This window comes from Homo sapiens, chromosome 7, assembly GCF_000001405.40.
Source record: "Homo sapiens chromosome 7, GRCh38.p14 Primary Assembly".
Lineage (NCBI taxonomy): Eukaryota > Metazoa > Chordata > Mammalia > Primates > Hominidae > Homo > Homo sapiens.
In genome coordinates, this window is record NC_000007.14 from 134,842,022 (window position 1) to 134,869,388 (window position 27,367).

General features: G+C 40.7%; 1 protein-coding gene and 1 long non-coding RNA gene across 38 annotated transcripts in view, besides 1 other annotated feature; one reads left to right on the plus strand and one right to left on the minus strand.

Moving 5' to 3' along the window:
• The window catches only part of LOC124901750 (uncharacterized), a 224,798-nt gene extending 222,935 nt beyond the window's left edge, over positions 1-1,863 (minus strand). For all 4 annotated transcript variants that reach the window (XR_007060537.1, XR_007060538.1, XR_007060536.1 and 1 more), the window contains exon 1: positions 1-1,863. This exon is cut by the window's left edge and continues 27,358 nt beyond it. This is a non-coding gene — a long non-coding RNA (uncharacterized LOC124901750).
• CALD1 (caldesmon 1) overlaps positions 1-27,367 on the plus strand; it is a 259,231-nt gene that overhangs the window by 130,523 nt on the left and 101,341 nt on the right. For 29 of the 34 annotated variants that reach the window (NR_199386.1, NM_001438770.1, NM_001438779.1 and 26 more), the window contains 2 exons: positions 1,863-1,950; positions 25,672-25,783. Coding sequence is in view for 33 of the 34 variants with exons in the window: in NM_001438770.1 (NP_001425699.1) it covers positions 25,713-25,783 (71 nt within the window). In the remaining variant the exon portion in view is untranslated. Of the gene's footprint in view, positions 1-1,862; positions 1,951-24,880; positions 25,019-25,671; positions 25,784-27,367 lie in introns of those variants that run through there. The other 5 variants (XM_047420866.1, XM_017012652.2, XM_047420876.1 and 2 more) reach the window with 1 other exon arrangement.
• Positions 2,984-4,183: an enhancer, noted in NCBI's record as "BRD4-independent group 4 enhancer chr7:134529756-134530955 (GRCh37/hg19 assembly coordinates)". NCBI's record gives its function as "activates an origin of replication core promoter dependent on BRD2, P300/CBP, MED14 and CDK7 cofactors, and independent of BRD4, by STARR-seq in HCT116 cells {active_cell/tissue: HCT116}" and the evidence as "EXISTENCE:reporter gene assay evidence [ECO:0000049][PMID:35650434]".

The following is a 27,367-nucleotide window of genomic DNA, read 5'->3' on the forward strand; positions in this document are numbered from 1 at the left end:
GTGGACCTCTTTACATCCTGCTGTTTTTTATTTGCTCACTCACTATCAGAAATGTATGGTGTCTGAACTCCAGCAGAGTATAAGCTCCATGGAAGCAGAGCCCTTGTACATCACCTTGTGCTGTGTCCTGAAGCAGAGGACTCACTCAGTGAACAAGCAAGTGGGCTCCTGTATCCACCAAATACACCCAGCATGGTGGGTCAGGCCCTGGCTTTGAATACTGGCCTCACCACTAGCTGGGTGAATTCAGGCAAATGACTTCAGCCAAGAAACTTCTCAGTGCTTATCCTAAGATAAGAATATGTATTTTACAAGGTTGTTACAGTCATCAAATGAAATAATGTGTGCAATGTGCTTAGCACAGGGCCTACCACTGAAAAATACTTAACAAACAATAGTTATTATTATTATTTCCATAATGAAAGCAAATCATATTATGAAAAAGTCACAGAGGAATTGTTTTATAAAAATGGTAATGTTGAAATCAGAGACCCTAATTCAACCATGTAAGATAAAATTTTAAATTAATGAAAATCTGGGTCTTCTTGTTAGTTATTTACAATTATTTATTTTTGTAAAGGATCCCTAATTTAACCTTTGCAATGATTCTCTGTTGAAATAAGTTATCATCTCACCCTCTGCTCTTAGTATCCATTTGGAAAATGCCATCTTTCTGAGAATACTTGCAGTAGAAATTTTAAATTAGGATATTAACCATCTCCTGTAAATATATGCTAGCAATGTTTTTCTATTTGTTTAATCTAGAAAGGTGCTAGTTACAGTTTTTCATGCTACTGAATGACTTTAGCTAGAGGTTTCCTGGGGGTTCTAAGAAAATCACTATTCTTAGGGGACTAGAAATCTGATCAAGAGGGAAGAAATTACTTCTTTCTTTTTATTACACCTTGGTTCTCCTATAGTAAATGTTTTCATATAAAACTCATTTCTCCCCATGCCCGAGGAGATGGTTAAATCAAAGGAGCAATAACTAGTGCCTGGCTGTTTGCCACTGGCTGCAATGGGGACTCGGGGAGGAAGACAGGCTCATTTGCCTAACAGGGCCCAGCTCCCTTCCCGTCTTCCTTCATCTTGGGCCTTTTCCTTCCTTACTACCTCCGGTCTAGACTCAGCTTTCCCTGCAGAGACCTTTGGCAACTGCTTCTGAGCCAGGGCAGCCAGCATCTGTGTGTCGGGCACTGCATTAAAAGCTATGGCTTAAAGGGCTCAAGGGAGGAATGGTTCACCCGGGCGTCTATTTGAAGTTGCGAGGTAACTGATGGGAGAGAAAGATCTTAAACAGGGAGTAAGAGCTTTAGCAACTCTCTGGCCCTTAGACCCTAAATCTGAAAATAGAAAGGAAAGAGATTATCTGAAGACAAACTCCACTGTTAGTGACTCTGCCATTCATTTTATGTTTTCTCTTGAAAGCCTTTCTGTCTTTGTCTCACTAACAAGGTAGTTCATGGACATACATAGACACTACAGACCAAAAAAGTTTTCCACTTATAACATTTTCTTCCTTCAGTTTCCCTTTATTCATTCTCAAATTTTGAAATAAAATTACTGAGGGGATTGGGAGCAGTGAAAAAGAAACTTGGCAATTAGATACTATCCCTGGGTTTGTCTTAACTATACCTCCTTCTCCAGAATAATTTATTCAGAATAAATGGATGGACTTTGCGATAACTGTATTTTCCTTAAAATGCAAATGCACAATAGCTATTTCTACCCCTGCCTTACTTCTCCCTTTAGATTCTAACTAACAACAGTACTTGAGGAAGAAATGATATTTGAAAATATATAGTCTGTATTAGCTAAAATTCATTCAACTGAATTATGTTTCCATCCTCCTTTTATTCCAGGTATCATTGGAACATTTCAAGATCATCAAATCAAATTCCACAGGGATTGGTGACCAACCAGAAGGCTCAGACATCTGATTGCTGACCTGTGAGTAAAGTTTATGTTTTATTAATACTTTGGGCTCTGCTCTTAGGAATTACACAGCCTCTGTGCCTGATATTCTAAATTCTTACATCTGAAGATGCACTGTGAGAAACCAGTTTTTCTGCTGTGGCCCTCCTACTTTACTTGCCAGTTAATTAATCAGTTAGAATCTATCAAGTTTTGAAGGATCTATCAAGTCTTTTATCCTGTTTTGTAATCTGATTTTTTTTTTTTGCTTTATTTTTAAATGTTTCCTGCAATGTAATATCTTTCACAAAACAGTCCTGGATCAATCATGAAGTCTTCACTTCCTGTGAAAAATGCTAGTGACTTGAATCAATAAAGACAACATGAGTCAGCCTTCCAAGGTGAATAAGCTCACCTTTGTGCAAACACTGGTGATCTCAGGAGTGCTAAGTACCCCTCACTTTCAACAAATCTCTCTCACCTGGGAGGAAAACTTCTACCAGAACAAGGACCACCTAGGGAGGTGAAAGAGGGGATTTCCACTTTAGAGGATGGAGAAACCAAAGGGCATTTCACTCATTCACAGTTTTGCTGAGCTTGGCTCCAGTAGGTAGAAAAGTTCTTCAGGAGTTCAGCACACCACTCAGGCAATTGTTGTTTCAAAATTCTATCTGTTGCCCCCATGCAAGTTTTCTCAGGCTACCATAGTGAAAATCCACAGACTGGGTGGCTTAAACAACAGAGATTTCTTTTCTCACCATTCTGGAGGGTAGAAGTCTGAGATCAAAGTGTTGGCATGGTGGATTTCTCGAGGCCCTCCTTGCAGATGGCCACCTTCTCCCTGTGTCTTCACGTGGTCCTCTCTCCGGGCACACACCTGTCTGGTGTCTTTCTCTCTGTGCCCAAATTTCCTCTTCTTGTAAAAACACCAGTCATATTGGATTAGGCCCACCCTAAAGACCTCATTTTAACTTAATCACTCTTTGAAGAACTCATCTCCAAATGCGGTTACATTCTGAGATCCTGAAAGTTAGGATTTCAACGTATGAATTTGGGGGAAATACCATTCAGCCCATAATGCTGCCACCATCATTTTCCCTCTCTAATATGCTGACTTTTTGTTTATTGCACGTGGGCTTCCCTCTGTTTCTCCCCTCCTGAACTCTTTTAGCGATTACATTACTCTCAGAGCATCTGCAGTTCTTAGAGTGTATTATAATCATTTGGGTACAGCTCTCATTTCCCTATGACATTCTATAAATTCTGAAATCAGAGAGTGTGCCTTTTACATCTCTCATAGCACTAGAGGAGGTTTTGTATACAGTAGACATTTTGTAATATTTATTAAATGAATGAATGAATGAATGGAAAGAGGATTAGATGCAGCCTCTGAACCTGCAATTTATTTGCTTTAAGACTGTCTCCAAATGATGAGTATTAAAGATGCTTTCTCCTCACTTCCTGCCCCCCAAGACAGGTAGAAATAAGTTAAGGCTGAGGAGAAAAATTGAAAGAAAGGTGTGATTGACTAATAGCAGGAGAGTTACCTTTCTCCCAGAGGTAGGAAATAGTAAATAGCACAAGCATGCCCCAGTTAAGGTGGCCTTTCCACAAGAAAACTGTTCGGGGATCCAAGAGGGACTTACTGAGTTTGAAGCCTGTGGGACATGCAAGGGCATGTGTCTAGAAAACAATGCATATGCAGGTCTGAAGGTCAGGTGAGAACCAGAGATGTTCACAGTCACCACCTACAGGCAGGAAGCAGCAGTGTGTCAATGAATGAGGCCACCAAGGAAGACTGTGTAGAGGGAGAGGAGCAGTGGCTTAAAGATTCCATCAGAAATTGTGTATGGAAATTTTTCCTGCTAGATAACAGGAGAAGGACCCGTCCAAGAGGAAGAACACTGCACGATACTTCTAATGAAGCTGTGTGAGAACATGTAGATGAGCTAATGTGTGTGTCTATTTTTTCTCCCCTAGTGTTTTTGGACCTATTTTGTTCCTTCTCTGTCCTGTCTTTTGGGGGCTATGCCCCAAACCATTCCTGTGAGCCTTCTCCTACCCACCTTTGCTCCCTTCTAGCTAACTCCACCTATGGTCATTGTCCAACTCCCCTGCTGCCTGCTCAGGGAATCTTAGACAAACTTCCTTTGGGCCCATTTTCTTCATCAGCCAATCAGAGCTGATCAGAATGGACAGGAGGGGAGGCCAGGATGAGAATCCTTAATGACCAAAGAGACAGAGGCAGGTCGTTTTCAGGGTCAGGTGGCTGTGACGCTATGGTCACAGAGCATCATCTTGTTTAGTCAGTAAAGGCCCCAGATAGGGGTGGAGGGCTGTGCCTCTTTTGCCCTGAACTCCCTCCTTTGTCCATTGTCCCCTGCTGATTGTCCCACTCCACCTGTTCCCCAGAATAAGCTTTGGCAGTATTTTAGGGTTTCCCTGCCAGACCAGAGAGTGGAGGGGCCAGGCCATGGCCCCTGACAGTCATTACCAGCCTCCCCTCTCTAGGCCTCACCATCAAATGTCATTTCTCACGGAGCCATATTTACCCCTGGGCTGAATTTCCCTAATTTGCCCTGCTAGCATGATGCAAATAAAAGGGGTAAAGGTATTTATTCATCTCTCTTTTATTTTCCAAAGTGTTATTTCTTTTCCTTTAAGTTCTCTCCTTGCTTTATGTTTCTTCTCTCTCCCTTAGTTCTCCTTCCTTAGTAGAAACCCTTGAGCTTCAGGGTGATTTTCTGATTATGAGCAGAAGAGGCTATCAGAGATCTGGAAGCCACCTCCTGCATTTCTTTATTCCCCCTCCTCACCCAATTGTTTTAAATGTACATTGAGATACCAGCTTTCTTCAAGAACCCACTTCCACACTTTCCTCTTTGTGTTCTTGGAGTAGCCAGGAAAAAGATGCCCATTTTCTCGAAGGTACCCAAAATGTCAGTGACACTTGGGTCAGTGATTTTATGCAAATTACTAATTATATCAAATGAGAAATGTTGAAAGCAAGAGGAAACCCTTTGCAATCCATGAATGGTCTAGTTGGGGTGTTCCAATGAATGATGGCCAGTGGCCAACATAGGTGCCTCCCGACTGTGTTTCATTAATTTCAGTCAGCTCGTGGGCTTGGAGAGAAAGATCATTTTCCTATGAGCACGTAAAAGAAGTGCTTTGAGTTGTAAGCACTTCGAAGGCTTTGCCCTTGTTTTCGAATGGGAGATTTTATAACCACTGTGGGCCAGTATTTTTGAAGTCAGTCGAAGCTCCAGATGGAGTGGAAAGAGAAGCTTGGGTTTTTATTTTCTTCTTCTTTTCTTGAGTTTTGCAGAATGAGCCTCCCTGGAAACCTTGACAAAGTCCTTAGTCTCCTTTGGTTCAGGTGGGCCCAAGCTTTTTATAGTAGGATCTGAAGGGATCTTTCTTAAACTAAGATTCCTTCCTGTGGGTTTTTAGTAGTGGCTGTAGAACTAGGCTTATATGGGAGAAGGTCTGGAATCCACTCCCTTCCCTGGGAGTCTCCTCTCAAGGAGACCACTCTCAGGGTCCTTGTCATGAGATATGAGAAGAAAAGTCCACAATGAGCCTGGGCATAGTCCAGATTTGGTTAAGGATTGAGGGGACACGAGGTCACAGGTCCCATGGGACTCCCAGCGTTCTGGAAACCTCCATAGTAAAGAGGGTAGAGGACATTCCAACACCACCACGTGCAGCTTTAGTAACCTTGCCCAAATAAACGTGTTTCCCCGGCCAGGGAATTGCACCTGGTCTTAAGAGGCACCTCCATGAAAACACACCTTTCTGCCTGGCATGACCATTGACAGAGAAAGACTGTGCTGAGAAGGGGGATACAGCAGGGAGAAAAACACACAACGGTGCCAGGAGCTCTTGTCTAGAACTCCTTTCCAGGCTTTTTTTCCCCATAAGCGCAAGTGAGTACACAAGTAAAGAGAAAAGAATGATTGTGCTATTTAGCTTTGAACCAAAAACTATCAAGCCTTTCCTAAGGTTCCAACTGGAATAGCATTTGTACAGTTACAGGACACAGACTCAATTGCTTCTGAACTCTGCTTTAGGATGCCTAACAGGATTAAGTTGTGAACATCTCATACCACGCCGTGCAACAGTACTCAAATAGGACTTAAGCAGAACAAACAGTCTGGGGAAAAAAAAAAAGCCCTAAGACATTTTCCTTCCTACTATTCTCTGTATCCCAGGCTCAACTTAATGCCAAATTAAATCTGGATTTTTTTTTAATAGACGTTTCCTAGAGGAAAAGGCAGAGCTGCATTCCCTGAAACATATTTTAGCCCAAACTTATAACTTGGATTTTTTCTTTCCTCCTCCCTTTCGCTAATTCAAAACAAAATGTCCATCACGCACTCTAACACCAGCCTCTAAGAGCTAGAGACAAATGAAGTCTGAATATTCACGCCAATGTGGTACAAATGAGCTGTGATTTCAGGATGCTGGCTGTTTTACTGACAGGGGAAAAGGGCAGTTGACTAGTTTAATATATTTGGCTGAAAACACTTTGCTAAAGAGCAGTGAAGAAGGCCAATGTTAATAATGAATCCTGTTCTTTAATGACCAAATATGATATATCATGGAATGGGGCATCCTGAGTTTGGGGGAAAGCATTTCACCATATCCACAGGATGCAGACGAGAATGAATGCAAACATACTGCATTCATGTTGGGCCCTAATGAAGAAGCTCTTCTAGGAGTATTTTCTCCAAGTTCCTCAAAGAATTCCTCCCATAAGTATATGATACCATGATTTTGAATCTGATTTCACACAGAATTACAAAATTATAAATATAAAGACATTTGTTATTATGAGAGACTCCGGGAATCTAGCTAACTGTCTCCCATTATTGGCTAATGGTTTATAAATTTTAAAATGCAATTATAAGTTGGGGTTGATGAGGGAAGCCTGTGACCACCATTAGCACCTTCCTTAAATATGCATATTCAGTCAGTCGTTAATTCATTCATTCTACAGATATCACTGGATTGGACCTTCTCCATCTCACGTGCCATATTAGTTCTGTGTTACATTTGCAATTCTAGTATTCCTTACCATAAAATGGGCTTTTTTTTAATTAAATGCAATGGAAAATTTTGTGAATCCAATGACGTGTTCAGTGACGTAAATTGTGATTTCTAATACTGTATTTATTTTTCATTGGCTTCGTCTTGGCAAAGGGTCATAATATTTTAAATTTCTCTGCCCTCTCATCCACCTATCACACTTTATTATGCGGTTTATAGGCAAAACACAGGCATGCACTGGCTATATCTGTAAATCTACTTTTCTGCAAATCACTTGAAGGGTAATGCATAATTGCCCCCTACATTATTGTTTCCTAGATTCTAACTTTTGTATAGAATGTTGTTAAAAGCAGATTATAATGTAGTTCCAAGTATGCTGCTTCCTCTGTATCCATAGGGGATTGGTTTCAGGACTCCCGAGGATACCAAAATATACTGATGCTCAGTTCCCTGATATACAATGGCACAGTATTTGCACATAATCTATGCATATCCTATCGTATACTTTAAATCATCTCTACCTCTAACACCTAATAAAATGTAAATGCTATGTAAATCACTGTTATACTGTATTTCCTATTATATTTTTTATTGTTGTATGGTTTTTTTAATTGCGTTGGTTTTTTTTAAAAATATATTTTTCTATCCCTGGTTGATTGAATCTATGGATGCAGAACCCATGGATATGGAGAGCTGATAGTAATTGAATTTAAAAGCAAAATAAGGGTGCTGTGATATTTTTATGAAATGCTCATGAGAATCAAAGATGAGAGACCAGAAGCCAATTTACCGTGAAGTCAGTAGAGTTTAAGCCGCAGGGCCTCTCATGGGGAGAGGTCCCTGCCTCAACACCCCCATGCCTAACTTTTTACATTTACTATTGTATTCTGGTTTTCCAAGAAGGCCTCTCAAATAATCTTCAGGTCCCACAAAACCTGGATCTGCCCTGAAACTGACACAGATATACTGAGATGATTTAGCATCGTGTCTAAAGCTAATTAAGTAAGCAAAGCAAAGAAATGGTCAAAGTGTGAAATGTGATCATTTATTTTTTTAAGGCTTTAAGACAAATTCAGCTTATTTTCTAAAGTGAACCCCACTTAAGTGAAATAATAAATCAGTTTGCCAAGGCACAAGTGAACATAAACAGAAGATTCATTTTTACTTCATTAATAAACATCAAATATGAACGGAACCTAACATCAAGCAGGCCAAGGCCTCCTGCTGACAGGAAACAGCTCCTAGTAAGAGCATTTGTAGAAGAACATAAATCCTTCCAGGCAATCACGTGATCATTTCATCATTGAGGTCCTTGCTACAGTCTACTATGTATTATCCATTTACAGGTCTTGTGAGATGTAACAGAGTGTTGTGATTAAAAGCACACAATCTGGGGCTGAGTTGCCTGGATGTAGACCCCAGCTCTACCACTTACTAGCTATGTGACCTTGGGCCAATGACTCACCTTCTCTGGGCCTCTGTCTTTTCATCTGTAAAATGGAAATAATAAGGATTGTCACAAGGATTTAAACTGATATTATCACAGTTCTTAGAACTGTGCTTGGTACATAGTAAGTGCTACATAACTGTTGTCGAAAGAAATCAACTTATCCATCTAGAATGAAAGCTATATGGGATTGCTTGTGGGTTCACTCTTGCAACTCCTCACAGTGCCTAACATGGCACATGGTCAGCCATCAGTGAAAGACAGCAACCCAGGGCCCATGCTGCCCTGCAAATGTGCTTCCCTTGTCCACCCTTGATGTGGTTTGGCTTTGTGTACCCACTCAAATCTCACCTTGAGTTGTAATATTCCTCATGTGTCATGGGAGGGACCAGGTGGGAAGTAATTGAATCTTGGGAGTGGGTTTTTCCCTGTGTTGTTCTCATGATAGTGAATAAGTCTCACAAGATCTGATGGTTTTATAAAGGGGATTTCCCCCACACATGCTCTCTCTAGCCTGCTGCCATGTAAGACGTCCCTTTGCTCCTCATTCACCTTCCACCATGATTGTGAGGCCTCCCCAGCCACGTGGAACTGTGATTCAATTAAACATCTTTCCTTTATAAATTACCCAGTCTCAGGTATGTCTTTACTAGCAGTGTGAGAATAGACTAATACAAGCATTTTTTTCAAATTTTGAGTCTGAATGCTCATAGGGATGCAGGGATGCATATGTTCTCCATTTTCCCATAAGCTACCACTCCCCAAATAGTTACCTCTTTGGTCCTTTAAGCTATTTGAGTTTGTCATGCCTGATATAAATGAATGATCCCATAATACACGAACACTGCAACAGTTAGTGGCAGTTTTATGGCTCACTGGAGTAAAGAGATGGGCCCATAAGGAAGTGAAATATGAGTCACTTCCACTCCCTGATGCTCTACCTGCAAACAGTGTTCCGGTTAACCTACCTATCCCTGTTTCTAAACTAGAGGTCTCAGAAGGGAAATAGGAAATCAGGAATCTGAGCAAGCACTTGCTTAGAAACAGAGACGAGTACAACCTAATGTCAGAGCTGGCCAAGACTCTATCAGTCATGACAAGCTAGGTTATGCTGGTGTCAGAAACAGCCAAAATCTCAGCAACGTCAAAATGAACGTGTGTTTATCACTCATGCTTTGTCACTAACCCTGGATAGGCAAGGGTTTCTAGTCCACATCACTGTCATCCATGCTTAGCCACCCCTACTGACAATGACTGTCTGGAAATCTTACCAACCATGATGGAGAGAAAAGAGCTCTTTGGAGGGTCTCCTATTGGCAAGTCTACCCCAGAAGTGACATGATACTTCTGCTCAAAACTCATTGGCCAGAATTAGCCACTTGGCCCCAGATGACCACAAGGGGCAAGCACAATACTATAATGTGCCCAGAAGAAGTAAAACAAGAATATGGGGCAAACAGCACAAAGGATCACAGCTGTGACATTATTTGGAACTTGGAGTCTCAGGCCAGAATTCTTAAGCTTTTCAATGAGTTCAACTCAGCAAATATTTCCATTCATAAATAACTGCACAGCAAAGTACTCAGCACTGTGAGGGGATGTCAGAGGAGATGTAGGCCTTGACACTGAGCAGCTTCAGACTTGGTCAAGAGAAAGTGATGGTACAAAACATTTGAACAGCAAGGCCATATAGTATTGATCACCAAGAACAAGGCCAATAATTGCTGTAGAAGCTGAAAGGGAGGGTGGTTCTGGGATAAAGATAGGACTTGAGCTGGACTCTAGAAAAATATAGGGGATTTGCAGGAGTGGAGGGCACTTCAGGTTATGGGCAGCAAGAAGCCAGAGACAAAGGCCCAGAGGCAGAAATGAGGGTGAAATTATTGCAGGATTCAGGAGTTTGGCTTGGCTGTAAGTTGTGTTTGCATGGGAGGGTAGGGTGGGGAGAGGAATCATGTGATGGATAGAGTGGAGCCATTTCACAGTGAGTTTCTGGGTTCTGCAGAGAAACAAGATGGTGGTATGTGGGAGGAAGATCATTTTTCCTGAATAACTCCATTCAAAACCAAGGAATTTGCACCTCCCAATCACCAGCCTTTCCCAGCACATTTATTCCCCAAAACAAGAGTCCTGAATACCCAACAGCTTCCCAGACCTTCTAGGCAGTCATTGAATGGAGACAGTAGTAAACCCTGGGCTGCTCCTGCCTCCAGTTTAAAGCATCTTTGATCACTTCTGCTGACAAAGAATATCCAAGTTCAAGTGAAATAGCCTCTTATTGCTGGGGTCAGTGTAGCCTTTTTGCTATGTAACATCTGTTTTTAAGATTCGGCTGAGAGCTGAGACCTTGACTTAAATCTGTTTAACTTAAAAAGCAGCAAGAGAACATCTTGTTTTCATGAATGTCCAGGGGCTGTGTGTCAACAAATAAAAGGTCTGCTTGTGGTACTCAAAGTGGAAAAGCTGGTTGTGAGATGTTCTGCCACTGGGATAAATTTATTATGGACTGTTTGTCTCTTGGAATCATGCACCAGCATTTGAAAATAAATCAGCATATTTCTGCTTGATGGCGTGTTAGAACCATGCTTTTATTGTCGGAAGTTCACAGAGCTGGATGGGTCTAGAAAGATGCCCTCTTTCATGCCTCCCACCTTAGCTGCATGAAGTTAATGTCTTAACGTGGATTCCCCGGGTCTGCATGAATTCTGGCAACAGTTTCTGATGGATCATTATTTTTATGTGACTTATGTAGGACCTGAAGTGGGAAAGAAGTGGGTGAGACTAGTTCACCATCCCTCAAATCTGACTAGTTGCTTTTCTCCTCACCCACCTATTTAGGAGAGAGAAGTGGAAAGGAATTTTATTTATCTGCACCTAGGGGAGCAAATGTCTGGCATGTACTCGATGTCAATTTAATTTGTTGAATGAATACAAACTCCAGTCTTATAAATTTATGTTCCCCGTATGAATTCATGTCTCTATATATATTAATGTCATTCCTTTTGGAAAAGGTGATTACCACCCAGATCTTATTCTAACACATAGGAAACCATTAGATCGTTCCTGTAGTTCTCTCTCATAGTAGCTTCTTTTTTTCTTCTTTTTAGGTTTCTTCCTAACATTAACCTAATTTGTATTTTATTTGTTGATTGCCCATCTCCACCATCAGACTACAAGCAACTTGAAGGCAGAATAGCTGCATTCACATCTTATATGCTACACTAAGCAAGGTAGCTAGTACATGAATATTTCATAAACATTTATTGAATTTTTTATTTATTTATTTTTATTATACTTTAAGTTCTGGGGTACATGTGCAGAACGTGCAGCTTGTTACATAGGTATACACATGCCATGGTGGTTTGCTGCACCCATCAACCCATCACCTACATTAGGTATTTCTCCTAATGCCATCCCTCCCGTAGCCCCCCACCCCCACCCCGACAGGTCCCAGTGTGTGATGTTCCCCTCCCTGTGCCCATGTGTTCTCATTGTTCAACTTCCAATTATGAGTGAGAACATGCGGTGTTTGGTTTTCTGTTCTTGTGTTAGTTTGCTGAGAATGATGGTTTCCAGCTTCATCAATGTCCCTGCAGAGGACATGAACTCATCCTTTTTATGGTTGCATAGTATTCCATGGTTTATATGTGCTACATTTTTTTTAATCCAGTCTATCATTGATGGACATTTGGGTTGGTTCCAAGTCTTTGCTATTGTGAATAGTGCTGCAATAAACATACGTGTGCATGTGTCTTTATAGTAGAATGATTTATAATCCTTTGGGTATATACCCAGTAATGGGATTGCTGGGTCAAATGGTATTTCTAGTTCTAGATCCTTGAGGAATTGCCACACTGTCTTCCACAATGGTTGAACTAACTTACACTCCCACCAACAGTGTAAAAGCATTCCTGTTTCTCCACATCCTCACCAGCATCTGTTGTTTCCTGACTTTTTAATGATCTGCATTGAATATTTTTATTAAAGTTCTCATTGGGATGATGGTTGTAGAGTCTCAGCCACTCTTGATTGTATCTGAATTTAAATATAATGCAGAAGACGACAGGACTTATAATGCAGCTGAATATGTAGGGGCCTTTTGTTTAATGACACACTCACATTCATTTGGCCATACACGCTACTGAAGGTCACGGCGGGATGGGCTAAACTAACCATCTCTATTTTCTCAATTTAAGGTGGTCAGCTACATCTGTCATATAGCTGGCCCGGATTAATGTCATAGCACAGGGCCATAGCTTAGGATTTTTTTCCCCTCAAATGAGTAACTCATTCCTGGTGGGATAAATCTGTGACTTTAGCCTTATTAGCAAGAAATTCTGGCCCACGAAGCTATCTGGTAAAGGCAGTGTGATATGGTTTGGATTTGTGTCCCTGCCAAATCTCATGTCGAATTGTGATCCCCATTGTTGGAGGAGGGGCCTGGTGGGAGGTGATTGGATCATGGGGAAGGATTTCCCCCTTGCTGTTCTCGTGATACTGAGTGAGTTCTCACAAGTTATGGCTGTTTAAAAGTGTGCAGCACCTCCCCCACTCTTTCTTCCTCCTACTCCCGCCATGTCAGGCATGCCTGCTTCCTGTTTGCCTTCCACTATGATTGAAAGTCTCCTGAGGCCTCCCCAGCCATGTTACTCATACAGCCTGCAGAATCATGATCCAATTAAAGTCTTTTCTTTATAAATTACACAGTCTCAGATGGTTCTTTATAGCAGTGCAAGAGCAGACTAATGCACAGTGCAAGGATCTAGGGTCAGAAAGGTGTTTTGGTGCTCAACAGACCTATGGCTTAATGTCCACGTTCACTTGTCCAGTGGTCAATGCAGATCTTTCTGGTGATCAAGCACAATATGAATACTCTCACTTGAGGGGTACGAAGGTGGATTCATTTGCTCCATTTTTCTTTGGCTTCCTGTGTAGATGGAATTGAAATGGGAATGATATGTGCATTCCAAAGGATCTCAAGAGAAATGCTCATTCGTTTACAAGAGGTGCAATCCCACAATAGTTTCTTGCTTTGTATACTTGAAAACATTCCCAAAGAAACAAAGTTGGATGCAGAAAAGATATTGGGAGAAAAGAAAAATAATACTCCAAATTCTGAACAATTCTACTTTAACATGTTGATCTGTCTGCCAGCTGGCCACAGGGTTGACTACTTGTAATATATACTTTTGGTAGGCCACATGTAGTTCTTGGAACTGTTTATATTCGGCTGCAGAAACTTAATTATTCTAAAATTGGCAGAGTGATCTTTGGTTACTTAATACAAAATTGCTTAGTCATCTTTAAACATAGTGTGGACAGCTTTTGTTTAAGTGTGAAAAATTAGGAATTGCAAATGTACTCCAAAGAGATTTTAGGTCAGGGAGAAAAACAAGAAAGTATCATTCTTTCAAGATATTTAGCCCGGTGGTTGCCACATGTTTTAATTTGACAAGCTAGGTAACTGTCGAGTTGAAGTCCTTGATTACAAGTATTTTTCCATTTTCTTTGTAGATATTGTCAGAAGTAGAAAGCTGTTGCTGCTGCTTCTTAGATGGTATTCTAATCCTACACTCTGCAAAGTATAGGTTTTTCAGCAAGAGTGTGAGGAACTCTAACATCAGCTGCTGGAACAGCTTTCTTGTTCTACGAAGCGAACAAGGATGCCATTTCAAGCTGGTTGTCACAAAGATCCTCCTTTTGCCTCTTTTGGTTTGAATCCTCGAACTGTTGCCTTCCACGTATAGTACAGAGCTATAGTGCTTTAGCGAGGAAACAGGCAGGCAGAGTGAGCTTCTGCATTTTTTAAAGTCTAAAGTGGCACCGGAAGTTTCTAGTTTTTCCAGGAATGCCCATGGCAACCTCACACTTTTCCTGTGATCTGGGCTGGGGCTCCTAAGAGAGATGGTGAGAAAAGATAAAAGTCCTGTAGCCAATGGGTAGCCACGCGAGGCCTGGGAAGGGTAGGTTCCCAAGCAAACCTCCAGAACGGTGCCTTATGTTTCTAATTACTGAGCATGGTTAGAGAGCAAAATCAGGCAACAGTTTTTTTAGACTGATGGAAACATTTAATTGGCTCTGAATGTCAGTGTTTTCTAATTATGATAGAGGGGTAGCAAGAAGTTTCCAAAGGCTGCGGAAATTTGAAGTGTATCAGCTGAATTCTGATTCTCTTCTTTTCTTATTCATCCTGTCTTCTTTTTCTTTCAACATCCAAGAACAAACCTATTCCCTCAGTTAAATGCCTAATACTCCTCTTCCTGAAATCGAAATGTCTCTCTAAGACCAAGTTCTTTTCCACTAGAGAAAAACAACCACAACTACAAATCAGAATATAAAATAGAGTTCCATAGTAAACCACCACCATTCCCAAGGTTACTAAGAGCTCAGCCAGAGAAACAGCCTTTTGATAACGTCTTAGCCAAGTTCATTTGTTTAACAACTAAGTTCAACAAATAAACACTGCCCTGGCATCTGTTCCAACTCAACAAGTGTGAGCCTAATGCGGAGTATAAGAAAAACAGTCAGTTAAGAACTTTGAGGGATCACGAAAGACAGTAATCATTTCTAAGAGATAACAACCTTTTACAGAAGACAAATATGTACTTGGTAATTAAAATACAAGCTATAGACTAAGTGCTCCAATAGAAATACAACATGGGTATCAGTACAAACTCAGGCTATTGAGTCAGTTGTTCAAAGATCCTATGGTTTTGCGCTATTCTTTTTTTTTTTTTTTTTTTTTTTTTTTGGAGACAGAGTCTCGCTCTGTCACCCAGGCTGGAGTGCAGTGGCGCGATCTCGGCTCACTGCAAGCTCCGCCTCCCGGGTTCACGCCATTCTCCTGCCTCAGCCTCTCCGAGTAGCTGGGACTACAGATGCCCGCCACCACGCCCGGCTAATTTTTTGTATTTTTAGTAGAGACGGGGTTTCACCGTGGTCTTGATCTCCCGGCCTCGTGATCCGCCCGCCTCGGCCTCCCAAAGTGCTGGGATTACAAGCGTGAGCCACCGCGCCCGGCCAGTTTTGTGCTATTCTTAAGCAGGCCCCAACTGTGAGCCATTCCCTACCTGAGGAAAAGTCCAGGTATCCCCAAACTAATAAATGAGTGAAACTGCTATCTAAATGACTCATTACTATCTAAATTACTATCTAAATATAAAGAAAGAGGAAGCAATCTAAGTACTTTTCAACTTATTATTTATCTGTAAATATATATGCTTAAATTATATGTCTGTTACATCCAAGGGACATAGCAGATAACATCCTTTAGTTGGGTTTCAAACCTTTCCACCTTGGATTATAAACTTCTAGAAGGTAGTTTTTAACCTGCTTTGCAGTTCCAGAATACAGTAAACACACTTGATGATCATGATGAATAGAAGTCAAATAATTCACTAGAGAATAATTAGTCCCTGATCAGTAACAGCTTGTCCTTCACATACAAAAATACTGCTATTAACAAAGCACCTCTAGAACACACCTTTGAATTGTTTTCAGCACTATAAATGGATTTGCATCCTGCCATCTAAGCTATCCTACTTTATATTAGCAAGATAGCTGGCCAAGGCTCTGTATCACTAAACTGGAAGTGTTAGTTGAACAAACCAGTCACAAAAAGCAGGCACATGAGTTGCTGACTTTTTTTTTTTTTTAGCTGAGTAGTTCAGCAAGTCCAGAAGGCCATGCACAAGTTAAACTACTTTTATGTAAAATATGGTGATCTCTGCAGCATGTTTACAACTGGGAAAGGCCCATGGCTTCTGAACTTTCATTCCATGTGAACCACTCTTGGGCCTTGTTACTTAACTTGAAGTGTGATCTTTCTTCAGCCAGTGTCTCAGCTTCTTTTGTATTTGCCAAGCATTTCACTTTCTCAGTTGCAAGTGCCCAGTCACAGCTAGATTGCCCCCATCCAAAAAGCCTCCATAGGAAAATGGAGAGAGTACCAATGAGGGAATTATGAGAGCACAGCCATGCTTTGAGATGCTGACCCATACAACACCCCACAACTTACCACATCTTTTCTATGAGATTGTAAGGTCTTTGAAGACAGAAACCATATCTAACATACCTTCATGTCTCTGAAGTGCATAGCATTACTTCACTCAGTACAATCATTTCATATTAGGAGTTGAAAGATCTCTTTTTTTTTTGAGACAGTCTTGTTATGTCACCAGGCTGGAGTGCGGTGGCATGATCTCGGCTCACTGCAACCTCCACCTCCCAGGTTCAAGCGATTCTCCTGCCTCAGCCCCTTGAGTAGCTGGGACTACAGGTGTGCGCCACCACACCCAGCTAATTTTTGTAATTTTAGTAGAGACAGGGTTTCACCATGTTGGCCAGGATGGTCTCAATCCCCTGACCTTGTGATCCACCTGCCTCGGCCTCCCAAAGTGCTGGGATCACAGGTGTGAGCCACCACGCCCAGCCAGGAGTTGGAAGATCTTATAGTAGAGCTGTCCAGTAGAACTTTCTGCAGTGATGAAAACATTCTCTGCACCGTCTTATATGGGGGCCACTAAACACATAATGGCTACTGAGCTCTTGAAATGGGACTGGTGAAGCTGAGGAACTGAATTTTAAATTTTATTTATTTTCAATTTAAATGACCTCGTGGCTGGTGGCTACCATATTGGACAGCATAGCCTTAGAATCTTAAAAAATATATTTTCGCCATAACCCTAAATAGATGGCCACTTCTTCTCCCTGGCTTTTTCAGGGATAGGGGTCTACCCTTTCCATGCACCCCCATTTTTGGGTAGTTGCGCTGGAGCCAGCCCTCCCTGTATCTGAATTATGTGTGATAATATTGTGAATGCCTCTGTTAGTCAGGCATACATTTAGAAAGCATCTTTACATATTTGTTGCAAGTCTACGCATTTTTTCTCACATGGACACAAGGTAGTGGAGAATTTCCACCTTGCCTTAGGGTTTACGCTTGTGTCATTTGTTCTTCTCTAGTGGCCAATAGAGCAGCATGCCTATTCTGATTTAGCATTAAACTCTGTCTTTCAGCCTAATTCTCCTTGAGTTCATCAAGGAAAAGTATTTAAATGCTTGAAAAGAAAACAGAAGAAGTCGTGTCCCAAATTTTCACTTCTCTTCATTCTTCTAAGAAACTTTCAAGTTGGTTTAGAAATTAGTCTAAATGCCAATCCTGGTTTTCCACTGATTTGTAGTGGTTAAGGAGCTAATGTCAAAGCTTTATATGTCTCAGTCTCCTTTCTTCAAATGGGGTTGAATTGATTCTTCTTACTTGGGAGGATCAAATAATGATAACCATAAAGTTTTGAAAAATATAAAGTGCTCCAAATTAAGGTGGTGATATTTGTGATAACACTTGAAGATGCAACCTAAAGTCCCTAAACATGGTGTCTTCCTAAGTGTTGAAGTTAGTATATACAAAAACCATCATTTCACAAATCTAAACTACTCAAACTGTCTGCTACTCAGAAGGTGAAAGAAAGGGCATAAAGACATTGGCTTTAATAATGTTAAATCTGCCAGGTCTTCTGTTTGCTAGTGGAGAAGTACAAATAGAGAAATGGTAATGCTAAGAGATTGTGCGGGGAAGGCAAGGGAAAAACAGGTCATAACCTGTTAACCTGCCCTTAGTATGTTGGATTCCATTGATTAGAGAAAAGAAACACCTTGAGAAGACAAAGTGCCTCAGGTTGATTGTATTCACTCTTATTTCTATGCTGCTGTTCTTGACAGACCTGCCTTGGTAAATGCATGTATTTTTTTAAAGTAGCACAGATTTTTGGAACAAGATGGTGAAGGTTGAGCTAAAGTTAAGTGCAAACTGTACATTATAATCCATTTGTTTATTTGGTTTTTCAATCCCAAATGAACCATTGAGCTCAGAAAAGAGCAAAGTGGGTTGACAAATTGATTTTTTTTGAAAAGAACAAAAGTTCATTTGGTACAGTCGGAAAGAAAGTGCTGCCAGATTTACTGTGTAACTACTGCAAATGTGGGTTTATATAATTTTTGAGATTCATACATAGTCAATTACCAAGGTCTTTGATTCACTTTGTAAACACTGATCAGTCAATAAAGTACAGAGAGATGAATTGGCTTGAGTTACATTTTCCATACTCAGAATGGTAAAATCTAGAATAGAAATCCAGTGGCTCAAATTGGCTACAATTTCTGAGTGCCTACTCTGTCTCAATTGTGGAAAAATTTTTTTAAAGACTATATCTTTTCATAAGTGGCCTTAAGAACAAAAGCATATGGAAAGTAAAATACTAATACAAATATTTAAAGACTAGCTAAAGAGAACAATTGATGAGCTGTAGCTGACAGTGTGTTATTGATTATCAACATGAATTATAGATATTCAAGGAGGGAATTGTCGCTTTTAAGCTAGGGTTCTCAGGAAAGGGTATCATGAGGGAAGTAAAATTTGAGCATGAAATTCATGATTGAATAAAAATATGGATAGTGAAGATGTAGATTAAAAAGAATGAGTAAAAATGTAGAGGTAGAAAGTTGTAAGACATATTTGAGAGGTGATAAAATATTTTTATGTAGGATGCTGTGGTATGATCAGCTTGAAAGGAAGGTTAATGGTTTCTAGATCAAAAAATTAAATGAGAACAGACTTAGATACTCAACACATTTATGTCTGGGAAGGAGGAAGAAGCATGGATATGTCATGTGTGATACCTCCAGCTTTGCTGGCTCAAGCAGGTATACAGCCATAGTATTATTATGTGGCGTAAGATGAAACTTTGAATATTATCTCTCCAACCAGCTCACTTTATAGAGAAACAAAGCTCATAGAGCTTCAGTCTCAGTCTCCTAGGTCTCATTCCAGGTCACTATTTGCCAAGGGTTTGTGAAGGAAAACAGTTAAAGGGTCAAGGTAAGCGATGATCATTGCAGATCAGAGGTAGGAAATCTGCTGGAGTATGTTGTACCCAGAAATCACCCAATACCTGTAGGATGAAGAGAAACATCACTGAGTTGCAGCGATGGCCCAACTGAAATGAATGCAAATCTTTAGGATATACACGACATGCTCCCTTTCTCCCACAAAGCACTGAATCTCAAGAACACAAAACAGAAAGCAGGTGATAGGTGTGATTCAAGGTTGAAGATGGGTGTGACAAGCCTGGTGGAACTTTAAAGAAGCAAGAAAGTCTAAACTATCAATTCCAGGAAGGCAAAGACCTTTTCTGTCTTGTTCACTGTTATACCCCAGTGTCGAGAACAGTACCTGGCACATAGTAGCTGTGCGGTAAATATTTATTGTATATTGATTGTATAAATGTTTTTGTGAGGCCTCACTGAAGTAGCTGAATCATGAAATTTACAGTGGGTGCAAAATGATGGCTAGTCAGAGAGGACCTGTCTAATAATGGTTTTGAGTGTTCCAAGACTAGAGTTCCTTGCGAGAGCAGAGAAATGATGATGTTGTGAATGAGGATACAGTGGGTTAGAGGAGGAAGATGTGTAATGAAGAAGGTACAATATAAGAGAAGAAACTAAGATATTGAAGAAAAGTATGCAATGATGCTGTCGAGGATACAGCCATCCTGAGTTACGAATTTTACAAAGCACTAACAATAAATTAACAGAGATGAAATAAGCATTTGGAAGGCTAATTCAATTGAGATCTTTTGTGACTTGATAATTCTATGATTTAAACCAAACAGGTTGTAAACCGAAGGCATAGGTAATTTTTAGGATTATTTCTTACCTAAGGTTATATGATCCAATGAATCAATGTGGCAATCACTGATAATAGTCCTCTCAGAACTTCTTTGGGGCACTCTTGTTTGTTCCCTGAAATGGGAAACAAATCCTAGAGAGAAATAGTGGATTAGTCCTATTATAGTGGTTAAGTGTATGCACTTTGAAATTCCATAAAATGGGGATTATACTAGCTACCTCACAGATCTGTTACCCAGATAAAGTAAAATTACTTATATTTTAATGGCCCAGCAGAGCTATCAGCCATGAAAAGACTTGAAGGAAACTTAAATGTGTGTTGTTAAGTGGAATAAGCCAATCAGAAAAGGCTACAGACATACTGTATGATTCCAACTATATGATATTCTGGAAAACTCAAAGCTGTAGAGACATAAAAACATCAGTGATTGCCAGGGTTTTGGAGTAAGGAGAGGGAAGGGATAAATGAGTGGAGCAGGTGGGGTTTTTAGGGCAGTGAAGCTATTCTGTATGATGCTACTATGGTGAATACATGACATTCGGTATTTGGTGAAACCTATGAAACTGTGCAACAAAGAGTGAACCTTAATGTAAACTATGAACTTTAGTTAATCATAATGCATGAATACTGGTTTGTCAATTGGAACAAATGTACCACACTACTGCAAGATGTTCCTAAGTTTCCTAGGGCTGCCATAACAAAGTACCACACACTAGTTGGTCTATAATAACAGTAATTTCTTGTCCCACTGTTACGGAGAGTTGAAGTTTGAAATGGAGGTGTCAGCATGGCCAGGCTCCCTCTGAAGGCACTGGGGAAGGGTTTGTCCCATTTCTCTTTCTCAGCTTTCTGGTGGCCTTAGGTCTTCCTTGTCTCCATTTTCTCATGGCATCTCACCATGTCTTCACATTATCTCCCCTCTGTGTTTGTCTGTCTCTGTGCCAAATTTCCCCTTTTCATAAGGACACCATCATATTGGATAAGGGACCACCCTAATCACCTCATCTTGACTACATCTGCAAAGACTCTATCTCCAAATGCAGGAGAAAATGTGGGCAGGAGTTGGGGAGGGGGGAATATATGGAAACTCTGTACTCTCTATTCGCTTTTTTTCTGCTCTAAGAAATAAGTCTATTCATTAAAAATGTTAAAGGCTTAAAAAACAGCCTGCCACATAGTACATATTCAATAAATGTTAGTTCCTTTTGGATGCTGCATTAACTTATTCAGTGCCCCTGACACAACAGATTTTATTCTTCTTGCATTCCAAGATCAATACTGGCACTGCCCAAAAAGTAGATAAGACTTAGCTTCTTCCACATGGCCTTGTCCCTAAGTGTTGAGTGCTGGGTTAGCCACCTGCTCACAAACATCTCCTGCCTTGACTGCATTTACACACGTGCTCATGCACAGGTGACACAGGTGAGCATACCCACACACACCTAAAATGGCTTATCTGCCACCAACACTGACCCAAACAAAAGCAGAAACTTACTAGTTCCCCTTATAAAGGCATCACAGGAAATATCTATAGTGAGGGCTACATGCCCATAGAGGGAAAAAGAAAAACAGCAAAAAAGAATATAAAACATAATACATTTCTTGGTTGAAAGATGCACATCAGCTATTGAACTAAATTTTTAAAGGAAACGAGCCATAAATTGATTTTAATAAATATAAATATACTTTCATTTCCGACACAGGGTGGGAGACAGAGAAGAAAAAAAAGTCACAAAGAAAGAGAAAATTTTTTTTAATGTCAGAAGAAATACCACTCAATATTCTGCCTTTGAAAAGAGGCAGAGAAAAAAAAGCAAGGAGGAAGGAAAGGAAAGAGAGGAAAGTCCCGGAAGCCCTGGCGTGGTGGTAAGATGCAGGACACGCCTCTCGTCACATCATGCCAATCCCCTGGGCCGCAGGCTCGTGGCTTTGTTCAAAAAGAAGGGCAGGCTGGGTGCGGTGGCTCATGCCTGTAATCCCAGCACTTTGGGAGGCCGAGGGGAGGATCACCTGAGGTCAGGAGTTAGAGACCAGCCTGGCCAACACGGTGAAACCCCGTCTCTACTAAAAATAAAAATTAGCCGGGTGTGGCGGTATACACCTGTAATCCCAGGTACTCAGGAGGCTGAAGCAGGAGAATTTCTCGAACCTGGGAGGCAAAGGCTGCAGTGAGCCGAGATCGCGCCATTGCACTCCAGCCTGGGTGACAAGAGTGAAACTCCATCTCAAAAAAAAAAAAAAGGAAGGGCAGTGTGTTTGGTGATTTGAAATCTTTTTTCTTTCCTTTTTTTTTTTTGAGATGGAGTCTCGCTCTGTCGCTCAGACTGGAGTGAAGCGGCTCAATCTCAGCTCACTGCAACCTCCACCTCACGAGTTCAAGTGATTCTCCTGCCTCAGCCTCCTGAGTAGCTAGGATTATAGGCACCTGCCATCACACCCAGCTAATTTTTTGTGTGTTTAGTAAAGATGGGGTTTCACCGTGTTGGCCAGGCTGGTCTCGAACTCCTGACCTCAAGTGATCCACCCACCTTGGCCTCCCAAAGTGCTGGGATTACAGGCATGAGCCACTGCATCTGGCCTGAAACCTTTAACACTGACTTATTTCTTAATCATGGCAGTTTAGGCATGCCCTGTTTTAAAAGAAAATCCTATCTATGAGAATCCATATTGAAAACACAGACATATCCATAGGTAATGACATCTGCCTCTGTTAAGGTTTTTGTTTTTCCCCTCTTTACAAAAGAAGTCACCTCAGTAAATTTTTCAATAGCATGACCACAGTCCCTCCTCCAGCACAAAAATTTAGATTTTCATAAAACTCTCCGAGAACGCATCATCTGTCACTAACATCAATACTTAGCTCTTTCACACTACTCTATTTGTGACACCCAGAGCCTCACGACTGATGGAATCACCCTGTCTTGACTTTTCATCCCTTCATTGGTTGAGAGTTTGTTTCCTAACCAATGTTGCTGAAAAGAATTCAGCACTGAGTAGGGGTAGGGCAGGAAATGAGGGATTACTGCCTGGGGACTGGGGACGTAGAAGAGAAAAAGAAAATCACTTACCATTCTACCTAGACATGTCTCCTCTTACAAAGGAAAGATGCTAGAGAAGGGCTGAAAAGCTCTGTGATATAAGGGTGCAGGGATGAAGGAGGATCTCCAGCCCCATCCTGGGTTGATACCGAGAGCCATTTTCATAAACACATACAGCTTCTCTCCCCCACACAAGACACACACACCACCGAGAGTCATACCACATGGTACACAGATGTGGTTTTGTGCTTTCCTCTAAGCTACACCCACTCGTGTGCACAAAGCCTCACCTAGAAAAGCACTGGTCTGTAGGAAATGGCACACGCTCTCTCTCTCCCTCTGGGTGCCCCCACATGTATACTCAGCAGCATTCAAATGGCAGGTAGTTTTTCTATGGCTGGGAAAGAAAAAGTGCTCAAGTAAGCAAGAGAAGGTGAGGAGTGGGAGAAGAGAATGGGTAGGAGAAAAAGAATTTGCGTGGGTTAAGAGCCAGTGAGGATGGTCAGCCAAACTGACCTCACGATGTTAGTTTCACTTCCCTTTTAAGTATTCCAAGACACTGCCCGGCTCTGCAGACCATGTGCATCTCCAGCCTGCTTGGAGATATTCATTTCACTGCTCATTAGCACCTCTACCAGAGGTATAGGCTGAGAACCACTGTTGCTGACAAACAGCCAGAATGACTACTTAAATTTGATGAGGTAGGAGCAAAAACCAGACAGAGGCTTAGAGGATGCTCTTCAAGCTACTTGGATAAATTTTAAAAGGTAAAATTGTTTGCTTATAGACGGACCTCTTTTTCCCATGTCTGTTTGCTATTGCTATAGTTATTCAAGAGGCACTTTATATGCAACAAAAGACCACATGGAAGGAAGAGAAGAGTCTACCCTCCCACTGCACCTGGCATTCGAGTCCAGGAGTTTAGACCCTACTGCCCACAGGGCTGTCCTCACACACTCCTGCCCTGTGGTCAGAACAGGAGCCTACCCCAGGGAGAAGGGCCCTGGGATGCCCTCTTAGGGAACTCTCAAATCACTTTTTCTTTTTCCATTCAGATAATTACAGACTAGATTGGAAAGTGTAGAAAAATTTCTTTATGGTCGATGAAATAATAAGAAGGAAAATGGGTTGTTTCCTTCATAACTAGCAAAGCCTAGGGAAGTACTCTTGGTAAGAGTAAGATAGATAAACATCAAAAATTTAAAACCCCAAATAAACACCAAGATTTGAATTTCTAAAGATTTATAAGCAGCATTAATAATACCCTAGAGGATAAAAAAGGGGAAAAATTCAAACATTGTATAGTTTTGCTTTTGTTGGCTGAACTTTTATTTTTGTTTTTGTGGGGTTTTTTTAGAGGGGAAAAAACCTTTGAAAATAAAATAATTGGACAATTTATTTAAGAAGGTTTCTGAACTTGGCTTCAAAATCTAAGTTTTGTTTTTTGCTCCTTCAAACAAAGATGCCTTCAGGTGTGATGGCTTTAGGTTTTGTACAGCTCCTTATTTTTTCACACAGGGCAAATGGCTCGTCTCATGTGCACATAAAGGGCTGGAAAATATTTCTGTGATTCGAGCGCAGCAGAGAGTCTAGGATTCCAGAGGAAGTGGAGGCCTCCCATTCCGCACAGGAAACAATCTTCAAGCAGGCCTTAAATGCCAGATTCCAGGCTGAGTTTAACTAACCACTGACAGCTCTGTAAACAAAGCAAGGACAAAAAGAGCCCGCTTCCCCCTTTCTGGTAGTCATTTTGGGTTTGGGGGCTGCAGGGGAATTCTGGAATACTTGACTCCATGGCACAGAAACGCAGGGGAAACGGGCTCCTCATTTAAAGAGCTGGAAGGGGAAGGTCTTTCCGGAATTAAAACCATCACAGAGGAGGTAGGAAAGGGTAAAATGGTTGGGTTACATCTGTAGAAAAGCAGTGATTTTAGAGCTTGGAAAACAGCTTGATCACCACTTAACTGCTTTTAAAAATGTTGCTTCATGATGTTTATTCATGATGTTACTGCTGCAGTCTTTATTAAAATCCTGATGCTTCTTTGAGAATATGCACATTATATGCCTAGACACTGTATTATTTTATTTCTCGCTTTCACTTTTCTCCTAGTTCCTACAAATACCTCTTCTTGCCACTTTTCTTTTCTGTTTGTCATTCCTGTTTTCCTCCTCCTTTGTTCACTTTTTCATAACTTTGGTCTGGGGTTCAGAAAGTTACAAAGAGCAAAATCATTCATTAGAATTTCAAGTGATTCTACCAATATTTCAAGTCTTCAAAACCTCTCTGTCTCCGGAGGTCTTTTTTAAAGAATAAATAATCTTGGGATCTTACTTATTTGTCTCTAGGAGATTCATGAATGAGACTGAATTTAACTCGGCTCAGGAGTCAGAAATTGATCACTGGCTACCTTATCAGCTTTCTAAGAGTAAAGAAAAATCAGGAGAATGACAAATGGGAAAGAGGGCCCATAGTAACTCAGGAGAAGTAACACACTGAGTTATCAATGATATTGACTCTACCTCCTCTCTTTCAGGTCCAGACATCATCTGGTCTCCCTGAACCTGAAATCACACCATGGATGATTTTGAGCGTCGCAGAGAACTTAGAAGGCAAAAGAGGGAGGAGATGCGACTCGAAGCAGAAAGGTAAGGATCTAGGGTGAAAAATACTTGTATTCCCTTATTAACAACCTTGGTTTCAGGCCTCAAAGACCATCCTTTTGAGAGGCCAAATGTGGTCATATCGCACACCAAACTGTTCGCAAAAGTAGTTATGGAAAATTTTTCTGCTAAGACTCTAAATTAAGCATTTAAAAAAGGAAAACAAACAAGAATCAAGAAAAAGAGAGATTTGAGAGGAATCAATTGATAACTGCATATTGATAATTGCATTTAATCAATACCTTTCACATTGGAATGTTTTAAATGACAAAAGTAATGTGTGAATGAAGGTTTAAAAAGCTTATATAATAAGAAATGACAAAAAAATGTCAAGTATTGAATATTGGAACCACTTAGGACATGAGAGTCTTCAATCTAAAAAATATAAAGGCAAAAAGCCCTGGATGAATCTTGTGAAAAATTTTCATTCTTATTAGAAAAGTATCCAACTCTAGGGATCTGCATAGTACAGGTTAATAACGGGCTATGTTACCGAGGAGATTCTGGGTGTAACTGGAAGCTGTTAATGTCGTGTGAGGCCTCTACAGTGGTGGCTATGAGGTCAAATTGGGGAGATAAAGCATTGGCATATAAAACCTGGGGCATAAATACATATTTTAACATTTTAGGCCTCAGAACAAAGGACAGTGTGGTATTTGATGCGACTTAAATCAGATGTTCTTTTGAGAAAGCAGGTTAGGCATTCACAGAGAGAAAAATGTTAAACAATGACCTTAAAATCAAATCGATTTTTTTCCCAGTAACTCCAATGCTCAGATGAAAAATGACACTTTAACGATACCACAGCACAAAACTGGAAACTTACACCTATAATGAAAAGTATTGTTCTTATGTTCTACTTATTTGCATGGAGAATGCAAAAGCAAAAGATAAAATAACTGCCTATGATGAACTGGGCCAGAGTCAGCTGGCATTCATGAACTGACTAAACATGTCCACAAGGCACTATGGATGGTACCTGCATTCTGTTGGTTCAAATCCTAGCTCTGCCATTTGCAAGCTGTGTGGCCCTGAGCAAATGATTTCTCTTTAAGCCATAGTTGCCTTATATATAAAACAGGCATAATATCTACATAGCCTGTGTGATTGTTGGGAAGATTATTGAGCTTCATAAATAGCCTAGTCAGGTACCTAGCACATAGTAGTTTTTCATAAATGATAGTTTTTCATAAATGATAGCTATTATTATTATTAACCATTATCACTAGCCAAACAAGAAATAGCATAGCAGCATAGCCAGAGCTAAACAATCATGCCAAGAGAAGGAAAGGTAGTCATTATCCTGCAATGGAACTAGTCAGAGAAAGTTTCTTGGTGGAGGTGAGCCATGGAGGAGGTAATGATGGCAATGAAGAGGGAAACGGAGCCTGTCTAGGTGAAGGAATGACACCGGCAAAAGTGCAGAAGTGGAAATAAGAATCCTGGTGCAAGAAACCTGTTGAGTGTTTAAGGGAAAATGGATTGGACTGGTATATCTTGGCTGTTCCTATTTGCCATACAAGGAATAGACAGAGACTTAACAAGGGAGTTATGTGCGATGACACTATG